Source organism: Homo sapiens, chromosome 7 (assembly GCF_000001405.40).
Source record: "Homo sapiens chromosome 7, GRCh38.p14 Primary Assembly".
In the NCBI taxonomy this organism is placed as follows: domain Eukaryota; kingdom Metazoa; phylum Chordata; class Mammalia; order Primates; family Hominidae; genus Homo; species Homo sapiens.
In genome coordinates, this window is record NC_000007.14 from 125,269,474 (window position 1) to 125,281,478 (window position 12,005).

Consider the following 12,005-nt stretch of genomic DNA (forward strand, 5'->3'; position numbering starts at 1 on the left):
CAGTAGGTTAGTAGTTTTACCAGCCTGTTTCCTGCTCTTAGAATTTTGGAAGTCAACACCTTTTTTCATTACTTCATCTTTCTATTCCTTTTAATAAAATCTGGCTATGTTTCTAGTGAGCCTGTTCTATTATACTCCTCAAAATTATTCCAGCCTATGTTCATTGCCCAATTCCAAAGCCATGTCTACAGGTTAGGTATTTTTACAGCAGCCACCCTCTTCTTGTATGATAATTGGTTTTCATTTCCTATTGGATCAAAAGTTAGTTTTTAGTTTTTTAAGGATTCTCCATATTGTCTTCCGTAGTGGTTGTACTAGCTTACATTCCCACCAGCAGTGTAAAAGTGTTTCCTAAAAAGGAAATATTAAGGATGTGGTAAAAAACCACATGCATCTCAGCATCTATTATTTTTGGATTTTTAAATTATGGCCATTCTTGCAGGAGCAAGGTGGTATCTCATTGTGGTTTTAATTTGCATTTCCTTGATAATTAGTGATGTTGAGCATTTTTTCATATGTTTGTGGGCTGTTTGTATATCCTTTTTTTTTTTTTTTTTTTTTTTGAGAATTCTCTATTCCTGTCATTTGCCCACTTCTTAATAGCATTATTTGCTTTGTTCTTCTGGGTTTGTTTGAGTTCCTCGTATATTCTGGATATTAGTCCTTTGTCAGATGCATAGTTTATGACTATTTTCTCCCATTCTGTGGGTTGTCTGTTTACTCTGCTTATTATTTCTTTTGTTGTGCAAGCTTTTCAGTTGAATTAAGTCCCATTTATTTATCTTTGTTTTTGTTGCACTTGCTTTTTGGTCATGAATTCTTTGCCGAAGCCAATGTCTATGAGAGTTTTTCTGATGTTATCTTCTAGAGTTTTTATGGTTTCAGGTCTTAGATTTAAGTCTTTGATGCATCTTGAGTTGATTTTTGTATAAGGTGAGAGGTGAGGATCCAGATTCATTCTACATGTGGCTTGCCAATGATCCCAGCAGCATTTGATGAATAGGATGCCCTTTCCACCACTTTATGTTTTTGTTTGCTTTGTCAAAGATCAGTTGCCTATAAGTATTTGGGTTTATTTATGGGTTCTGTATTCTTTCCATTGCACTATGTGCTGATATTTATACCAGTACTCTGCTGTTTTGGTAACTATAGCTGTGTAGTATAGTTTGAAGTTGGGCAATGTAATGCCTCCAGATTTGTTCTTTTTGCTTAGTTTTGCTTTGGCTATGAGGGCTCTTTTTTGGTTCCATATCAATTTTAGGATTGTTTTTTTCTAGTTCTGTGAAGAATGATGATGGCATCTGGCAAATCAGAAAGGAGGAATTACCTAAATGTAGAGCCAGGGCATAAGAGACTGGGGAGGCCTTCAGTGGAGAAGAATTAGGACCTAATAATGATACATTTCATAATCTAGTGTAGAGGATCTTGCATAGTATGCAAATAGGTTATAGATTTTCTATGCATAAGTAACTGCTGCTTCTCCCATCATTTTTCTATCAAATGGAATATTTACTGTGAGTTTCCTTTTGATGCTTCATCATCATATATTAAGAGCACTGGAAGCAAACAAATTGGATTTTAAGTTTATAGATTTCTGTACCAAGAGGAATGGCAACCAAATCAAATGAAGACACAGCCAGTCATCATGCTCAGACATTAGACTTTGCGCCTGAGGCAGAGATTAAGTATAATTTTTGGTTTTTCTTTATGTTCTGAAATGTAGAAAGGAGCATAAACTGCATATTTGGCAACCCAGAAGGTAAATTGTTATAGTCTCTGATGCTGCCTGAAAGCACTTCTGCTTCTTTTCCTTGGCAAGTTGATAGGCTCACACTTGCTTTTTACTTTGAATTTGGGAATGGTCATATTTCTTGATTTGACCAGAAAACTTAATGCAGGGAGAACACGAATCACTTCTAGATGGACGTTTATCCAAGTTATCATGCACTAGACTGTCTCTTCCTTCTGAGATGGAAATGATTTTCCAGGTAGTAGCTGTTTTATCACTCTGGGTTCAAGAGTGAGGGTAGCTTGGTGCAAGTGCCCCTAGCTAAATTATACTGGACATGAGGTATGAACAAAAATGAGCAGGAAAGAAAACTTTGTGGCTTGAATCCACTGAGATTTCAAGGCTTTTGTTTTGTCTTTTGTAACTATAGCATGACACAGCTCATACAAATATCATTGAAAAATCTCATTTTATTTTTCATATGAGACAACATGGGACAATAAAAATAATTGGCTTATCCTTGTCAGTCATCTTAAAAGGCTAATGCAAGTCGATTTGAAATCTGAGGGTAGACTGAAAAAAATAGGTTTTTGAAAAATATATATGTAATTAATAAAATATGTGTCATATTTCAAATTTACGTGCTAAGATGCCAGTAGTTATGTTTATGTAGTTTGCCTTTTTCAGATCCAGTTTTCTTACTGACTCTGAGGCATCATTCTGTGCAGTTGAGAGCATTTTTAGAATTTACCTACATAAAAGTATTTTGTATTATAAACTTATTTTGATTTTTTTCGCTGTAAAATAAAAATTGGGCTTTTCTTTTCCCAATTAATTTGATGCTTTTTCAAATATACTTATAATGCTTGATATCTTACATTCCACACTCCTCTGATTCTGATGACAGATAGAAATGATCAGCCTATTATCAACTCAACAATTTCTTGTTAAAGACAATAAATGACTTTGCTGTTGTGTTAGCTGTGGATTCAACTTTTACTTTAAAAACATGTGATTCAGCTTCCTACTTCATCTTCTCCCCAGCTCCTGACAACCACTGTTTACTCTCTGCTTTTCTGTGTTTGATTCATTTTATTTTTACTTTTTATTTTATTTGTATGAATTTATGAAGTGAAGTGTAATTCTGTTACATGGATATATTGTATAATGGTGAATTCAGAGCTTTTAGTGTGTCTATCATCAGAATAACACACATTGTACCTGTTAAGTAGTTTCTTGTTTTATACGGTTCCCAGCCCCCAACCCTTCCAAGTCTACATTGTTATCGTTCCACACTCTATGCCCATGAATACCCATTATTTAGTTTCCACGTATGTGGTAATTGACTTGCTGCTTCTGTGTTATTTCTCTTATAGCCTCCAGTTCCATCCATGTTGCTGCAAAAGACATGATTTCATTCTTTTTCATGGCTGAATAGCATTCTATTCTGCATATGTACAACATATTTTTTAAAATCTAGTAATCCATTGATGTAAACATACAGTGATTTCATATTTTTGCTATTGTGAATAGTGCAGCAATAAACATGAGTTCATGTATCCTTTTGAGGTAACAATTTCTTTCCCTTTGGGTAATTACCCAGTAGTGGGATTGCTGGATCATATAGTAGTCCTCTTTTTAGTTCTTTGAGAAATCACCTCACTGTTTTTTTCAAAGGTTGTACTAATTTACATTCTCACCAACAGTGTACAAGTATTCCCTTTTATCTTCATTCTTGCAAACCTCTATTAATTTTTTTTTAATAATTATGATTGGTATAAAATGTTATCTCATTATGGTTTTAATTTGGATTTCTCTAACGACTAGGGTTGATGACCTGTTTTTCCTGTGCTTGCTGGCCATTTGTACGTCTTTTTTAGCAAAATGTCTGTTCATGTCCTTTACCCACTTTTTAATGGGATTATTTATTTATTTATTTATTTGGTTGAGTTGTGTGATTTTTCTCGTCAATTTTGACTATCAATCCCTTGTCTAAGGTACAGTTTTTCAAACATTTTCTTTCATTCTGCGAGCTGTCTGTTCACTCTATTGATTATTTCTTTGGCTGTAAACCAAATGTATCTGGTAGACATTTCATTTTATCCAGCAACTGAAAAATATAAATTTTTATCATCTGAACATGTAACATTCTCCAAGATACATCATAGGTAAGGATACAAAATCAGTCTCAACAAGTTGAAAAAATCAAAATTATGTTAAGTATCTTTTCAGATCACAGCAGAATATACTAGAAATTAATACCAAGAGGAACGTTAGAAACTATAAAAATACATGGAAATTAAATAACATGCTTCTGAACAATTTTTGAGTCAATGAAAAAATTAAGACAAAATTTAGAATTTTTTTGAAATGAATGAAAATGGAAACACAACATACCAAAATGTCTGGGATATAGCAAAAGCAGCGCTAAGAGAAAAGTTTATACCATTAAATGCTTACATCAAAGAAGAAAAAAAATCACAAGTCATCAACCTAACCTCACACCTCAAGGAATTAGTAAAACAAGAACAAACTAAACTCCAGGTTGGCAGAAGAAAAGAAATAACAAAAATGAGCAGAGCTAAATGAAATTGAGACCAAAAATAGAGTACAAGTGATCAACAAAACAAAAAGTCGGTTTTCAAAAACATAAAATTGATTAACTGCTAGCTAGACCAACCAATAAAAGAATAGAAGATCCAAATAAACAAAATCAAAAATGAAAAAGACATTACAGACTACTATGAGCAACTACAGGCTCACAAACTAGAAAATGTAGGGGAAATTAATAAGTTGCTGGAAAAACACAACTTTCTAAGCATGAGCCACGAAGAAATAGAACTCCTGAACAGACCAATAATAAGTAACTCGATTAAATCCATCATAAATATTCTTCCAACACAATAATAAAAGCCCAGGAGCAGATGGATTCAAAGTTGAGTTTTTCCAAATATGCAAATAACTGATACCAATCCTCCCAAAATTGTTCCAAAAAAAAAACACAGGAGGAGGGAATTCTCCATAACTCATTCTATGAGTTCTGTTATCACCCCGATACCAAAACTAGATGAGGACACAACAACAAACTGCATACCAATATCCTGGATGAATATAGACACAAAATCCTTGACCAAATACTAGCAAAATAATTCAATGGCACATCAAAATGATAATACACCGTCTATTTGATTATTTTAGATACCTCATTTTAGACTGTGCTGAAGTCTAACGTAAGTAATCTTTGTGGTAAATCCAATCATGCAGTTTATGGGAAGTTGCTATTCAATGGATATAAAATTTCAGTTAATCAAGGTGGTTAAATTTTAGAGATCTGCTGCACAACATTGTACCTTTAATTAACAAAACTGTGTTACACACTTAAAAATTTGTTAGGAGAGTGTATTTCATGTATAGTGTTCCTACTACAATCTAAAAAATCTGATTCAAAATACTTATTTTTTTATTTGTGGAGCTAATATACTTTTGAGATTAGTTTGAAATTAATTTTGAGGTTGACTTTAGTAATAGTATTTTGAGAAAAATCTTAGGTTTAATTATGAGAGGTGAAGCCAGCTGGACTCCCTGGGTTGAGTGCGGACTTGGAGAACTTTTCTGTCTAGCTAGAGGATTGTAAACGCACCAATCAGCACTCTGTAAAAATGCGCCAATCAGCGCTCTATGTCTAGCTAAAGGATTGTAAATGCACCAATCAGCACTCTGTAAAAATGCACCATCAGCACTCTGTGTCTAGCTAAATGATTGTAAATGCACCAATCAGCACTCTGTAAAAACGTACCAATCAGCACTCTGTGTCTAGCTAAAGGATTGTAAAATGGACCAATCAGCTCTCTGTAAAATGGACAAATCAGGTCTCTGTAAAATAGACCAATCAGCAGGATGTGGGTGGGGCCAAATAAGGGAATAAAAGCTGGCCACCCGAGCCAGCAGTGGCAAACTGCTTGGGTCCCCTTCCACACTGTGGAAGCTTTGTTCTTTCACTCTTCACGATACAATCTTGCTGCTGCTCACTCTTTGCATCTGCACTACCTTTAAAAGCTGTAACACTCACTGCGAAGGTCTGTAGCTTCAGTCCTGAAGTCAGTGAGACCATGAACCCACCGGGAGGAACAAACAACTCCGTACACGCCACCTTTAAGAGCTGTAACACTCACTGTGAAGGTCTGCGGCTTCACTCCTGAAGTCAGCAAGACCAAGAACCCACTGGAAGGAACCAATTCCAGACACAGTATGATAGCTTTGGGAGACAAAAGTAACACCTATAGATAGCAGACCAGAAAAGACATTTCCTGTGATTATCTATAGAGATAATGTTTTTTGTGCTTATTCATAAAAACATTAAAAACTGAATAGCCTTAAATGAGTTTTAGAAATGCCCATACCTGAATTCAAGTCCTGGATCTGCCAATGTCTAACTATATGATTGAGCAATTAAAAAAAAAAACAAAACTTATCTAAACCTCAGTTTACTCATCTGGAAAATGAGGCAGAGGGGAAATATTTTTAAAAAGCCAAACATAGATTTTAATCTGTCAATTGAATGTGGTCCTTTTTGTAAAGTGTTTTGCATTAAAATTTCAAAAAAAAATACTAGATGAAATGATTGGTATTAGAAAGGCTATGTATGTAATTCTGGGACTGCCTGAACATGTGCTTTAAATTTTTCATACCTATTTGCAGTTGGAAAATCAGCTCTTACCTGCTGGTAGAAAGGCCTAGTTGATCAATTAACTTTATAATAATTACCCCTCCTGCTGTAAAGTTAATTAAATAATGGCCCAAGAGCAGATGTCAGGAACTGTTTTAAATTTTCTAAAGTAATTTCTTTGATTCAGCCAGCAACTATTCATTAGATTACGTATATAAATTCTGAAACTCTAATTTCAATGAAATTGGGTATTATACTACTTTCAGTTTATATTTTGTTGAAGATACAATTGTCCCTAAAGAACGATCAATTTAACTGCTTTCATCACAACCAGTGGGCAAATTTAGGCACAAACCTATCTAATAAAAAATAATTCATGAGTTATAACTTTTTTTGTCAAATAATTATTGTGGCCCAGGGTAAAATAACTAGATGTTATCTTGAAACAGTTAGAATTCTTGATCAAACACTGATATGCCAATAATTTGTTATCTTCTATCTTTCTGTTACCATTGGTGAAGCTTTTATCACAAATAACATTTTAGAAGGGAATAATAGGAGTTCAATTAAAGTGTTAAACCAAACATTGCATTTATTATCTACTATGTTTCTGGCAATGTAGATTTCTATGTGTATAATTTTGAATATATTATATTGTTTTTATTAGGGTTCTCTAGAGGGATGGAACTAATAGGATAGATATATGTATAAAGGGGAGTTTATTAAGTAGTGTTAACTCACAGAATCACAAGGTCCCACAATAGGCCATCTATAAGCTGAGGAGCAAGGAAGCCAGTCCAAGTCTCAAAGCTAAAGAACTTGGAGTCTGATGTATAAGGTCAGGAAGCATTCCACATGGGAGAAAGATGTAGGCTGGAAAGCTAAGCCAGTCTAGCCTTTTCACATTTTTCTGCCTGCTTTATATCCTGGCCATGCTGGCAGCTGATTAGATGGTGCTGTGACTCAGATAAGACTTTGAACTTTAGACTTTTGAGTTAATGCTGAAATGAGTTGAGACTTTGGGGGACTGTTGGGAAGGCATGATTGGTTTTGAAATGTGAATATATGAGATTTGGGAGGGGCCAGGGGTGCAATGATGTGGTTTGGCTCTGTGTCCCCACCCAAATCTCATCTTGTAGCTCCTGTAATTTCCATGTATTGTGGGAGGGACCTGGTGGGAGATGATGGAATCATGCGGAAGGTCTTTCCCATGCTGTTCTCATGATAGTGTATGGGTATCATGAAATCTGGTTTTAAAAACAGGAGTTTCTCTGCGCAAGCTCTCTCTTTGCCTGCTGCCATCCATGTGGGATGTGACTTGCTCCTCCTTGCCTTCTGATTCATGATTGGGAGGCCTCCACAGCCATGTGGACCTGTAAGTCCAATACAGCTCTTTCTTTTGTAAATTGCCCAGTCTTGGGTATGTCTTTATTCATGGCTAGCAAATGGCAGAGATATGATTTATATCCAGAGCTTTCTGACTGTAAGTATTTACCACTTTGTTTTCTTGCTTGTTGGTATCGTGAAGTTATATATAGCTTAATAATTCTCACAAAGAGAAAAACATATTCCCTTTTGGAGGCTGAGGCAGGTGGATCACTTGAACCCATGAGTTCAAGACAAGCCTGGGCAATATGGCTAAACTCCATGGTTGCAAAAACTACAAAAATTAGCCAGGCATGGTGGCCTGTGCCTGTAGTCCCAGCTACCTAGGAGACTGAGGCCAAAGGATCATCTGGGCTCAGGAGGCCGAGGCTGCAGTCGGCCATGATTATGCTACTGCACTGTAGTGTGGGCAACAGAGTGAGACCCTGTCTCAAAACAAACAAACAAACAACAAAACATCACCAAATCAAAACATATTCCAAGAACTGAGAGAGGAAGTTCCAGACATGAAACTAACTGAATACCCTGATAGGTAATTGTTAATAAGCTAAAATTCCTCAAATCAAGGTTTTCTGAGCTGTACATTTGTGCTAAATTCAAAGATTCATGTTAAGAGTATTTGAAAGTTTAAGAAGCTCTTGGATGACATGGCCCAGTGATTTGGAGTTTTGGTCATCTATAAACATGTTGGTGTAAAATGGATACTCTAGAGACATAGATATTCACCTGAACATGGCTGCTTAGTGCAGTAGTTATAAAAAATTATTAAGCTAAACTGCCTAGGTTCAAACCTCTTTATAGGTATGTGACCTTGTTTAACTCTTCTATTTATACCCCAGATATTTTCATCTGTAAAATTGGGATGATAATAATAAAGTTTCACAGATGATTGGTAGAATAATTAAATGGTAATGTCTGAAAAATATGTGGAATTATGTCTGGAACAAAGTAAGAGCGATACAAATATTTGCTAAATAAATAAATAAAAATAAAGTCTTCACTGATGACCCGGAGTGGAAGTAGTCTCTCTGTCTTCTGTGTTCTGATATATTGGAGTAAACTCATGGACGTTACCACATTACCCTTCCTTTTAATTACTTATTTACCTACCTTTTTGTTATGGTAGGTTTTAAGCTTCTTGAGAAGAGAGAGTATTTTTTTTCCTACAGTCTCAGAATATTGCTCAATAAGACTCATGCATAAGAGAATCAATGACTCTCTAGAGGCAGGAGTGTGACTTCTGTTTCCTTTCCTGGGAGGGAACATTGCTAACTGTGACAGTTTTACACCATCTGTCAGAATACAGTGGCAGTTAACATTGGTGGAAATTGATACCTTCTGATATAATCATTTAGTTCTTTCTATGTATATGGTAGGTGACATAATATGCCTACAAAGTTGTCTGTGTCCTAATCTTTAGAACCAGTGGATATGTTACCTTACATGACAAAGAGGACTTTGCAAATGTGATTAAGTTAAGAACCTTGAGATGGGAGATCATCCCGGATTATCCATATGAGCCCAGTATAATCATAAGGGTCCTTATAAGAGGGAGACATTTGAAGCAGGGGTCAGAGAGGTGCTATTGCTGATGAGGAACATGTGCCAGGGAATGTAGGCAGCCTCTATAGACTGGAAAAAAAAAAAGGAATAAATTCTCTCTTCGAATCTCCATAAAAAACTCACCCCTGCTCACACACTGATTCTAAGATCTTTGACCTCCAGAACGTTAGTATGCTACGTTTGTGTTATTTCACACCACTAAATTTATAGCAAGTTTCTACAGCAGCAATTGGAAATTTATAAAATCTGCTTCTGGAATAAAAGAAAATGAAAACAAAAAGATAATAAGAAAGAAAAGAAAGAAAGAAGATTGGAAGAAATAGGGTGCTTTGCTATAAGTAACATCTCTGGTTGGTGTTAATAAAGGCGCCATAAATTGTAAGACAGAATTAATTATCACAACCGATGATGGGCAGGAAATAGCATGAATTGTTGCAAACAATTTAAAACAAGTACATAAAGTATTTTTTACTAGAAGTTAGTAGAAGTTTATATAAAAATTACTTTAGTATGAGCGTGGCAACGCAATAAAATAAAATCAATTCATTGTATAAAGAAACAATAAAATTAATGAAATAAAATTAATTCATTATAAAAACGCAGGTGTCACAAGCCAAGTGCAGAGTTTATACAATATTTTATAAGCAAAATATTGTAAATGGTAAAAGTTTTATTTTTTTTATAAACTCTAATATGTAAATATTTATATTCATGCCTCTACTACCTTGCCTGCTGTCTCTGATCCCCGATTTTAAACCAGAAGCAATTGTGTTTAGGGCTTTGTGAAGGGATAGCAAACAGAACAGCACTGGATAGGATGATACTGTCACTCTCGTTTTAATAAAGGGTCCTCAGAAATGCTGAACAGAAGCTTTAATAGCATTCCTGGCAACAACCATCCCTGTTCCCCATGTATTTTGAATCAGATTTAATTTGAATTAAATAGAAATAAAAACTCTTTACCATTGCACCCTAATGACTGTAATTTTCTCTCAAGCTGTTACTTACACACACAGTATGCTGCACCTAGGAAAGAACATCCCTATGCTTATTTATTGAGTCTCAAGAATAATGTCTTAAAAACTAACATGTTCAAAGGATGAACTTAACTTCAATACTGTGAATTAATATGAAATATAAGCCTTTCTGAATTCTCCAAAATAACAAAAATCTCCAATTTAGATGGCTTCCTTTTGTTGCAATAATTCTAGTCAGCCCATTGACATCACCCAGTTTGTCGTTTTCAGGGCTGTAATACTCCTGTCAGCATCTCTGTGTGGAGCATTTAACTCACCACATAGCTGTAACCCTGATTACCAGAACCAAAATGTCTCTCCATTACCACTTCAAGGAGCTCAACTGTCTGGTGCCAGATGGTATGCAAATTGGTCTCTTTCCAAAGATACAGATGTCACCGTGCCCAGAGTTTGTTAGAGTGTCTACATCCTCTCCTGCTGGGAATATAATTTGGTGGAATAACTCTTTGGCCTACCTGCCAATGATCTGCAGAACATTGACTCATTCCCAGATGACAGCTTTTAAAAATGCATCTTTCTATTCATCAGAATGACAAAGAACCAAAATTCAAAATTGGGGATCAACATACATTTTTGAAATATATGTGCTGAATGGAACATATGCTAGGTGAAAAAAGAAATTTGCTATAAAATTAGGATGATTACTAAAATGAAATTTCAACAAAATGAGAGCTCTAATTTATCTTTCCCTCCTTTCCTCATTGTAAATACCACCTAGAAGAATATCAAGTTGTTCATGGCAAATAGACCAGGGGAACCTGTTTGCTTCCATGTATCATTCCTTTCATATGTAAAGAAAGGCAGGAATGAAAGGAAAAAACATCAGTATTCATGAAAGTTACTTGAACTACATAAAGGTTTTTAGATTGAATAGCTGAATTTAAGCCCTATAGCCTAAGTTTTCTCTTTGTTAATATCTAACATATATGTCCACTTTTAAGGACGTTTCTTTTGTTCCAATTCTATTCCATGGAGTTCTAGGGTAGGATTTTTTTTTTTTTTTTTCTGTTCCCATGCACTTTTAGGTCATCCCGTGACCTAATTGATTATTCAACAATCACATAGTCAAAAATAGGAATAAAATTTTAGCCTAAGACAAGCACACCTGGGAAGATAAATTAGCTCCAAAATAAAATAATTTATACTACAGACCAACGAAACTATTTTAGAATTGTTTACAATTTTAAATTATCCATATCACTGTCTCCTTTATTTAAAAAAATATATAGTCTGAGAGTATTTTATAGATTCAAGCATAATCCTTGGAGTGAAATGTAAAGCTACAATGGAAGCCTGATTATATTTTCTGTGTTTTTATCATTTCTCTAAGATATGCTGGACTTCAGTCTTTAGCATGGAGAAATAAAATATATAATTATACTTTCGGCAGGGTTGTATAATTTGCCATCTCACCAAATTATTGCTATGCCACCAAAATATTTTTAGAAATCATCATAGAGAAAATCCAACAACTCTGTCCTATACTTAAGCCAATAGATTGGTATACAGACACCTCTTAGTGAAATTTATGTGCTAGTTTAAATTTGAGGTAGATTATTTAGTATTTAGGAAGGAACGAAAAACTATTTTTGTATGGAAGCTATAAACTTAGTGCCATTTTATA

The 12,005-nt window shown here is 34.9% G+C and overlaps 1 long non-coding RNA gene across 1 annotated transcript in view, besides 1 other annotated feature; it reads left to right on the plus strand.

Annotated features, from left to right (window-relative positions):
• Positions 1-12,005, plus strand: part of LOC101928283 (uncharacterized) — a 194,753-nt gene that overhangs the window by 84,905 nt on the left and 97,843 nt on the right. The gene's annotated exons all lie outside the window — the stretch shown is intronic.
• Positions 10,456-10,957: an enhancer, noted in NCBI's record as "NANOG hESC enhancer chr7:124919983-124920484 (GRCh37/hg19 assembly coordinates)". NCBI's record gives its function as "activates a minimal SCP1, AML or CMV promoter by ChIP-STARR-seq in naive H9 embryonic stem cells {active_cell/tissue: H9 hESC(naive)}" and the evidence as "EXISTENCE:reporter gene assay evidence [ECO:0000049][PMID:30033119]".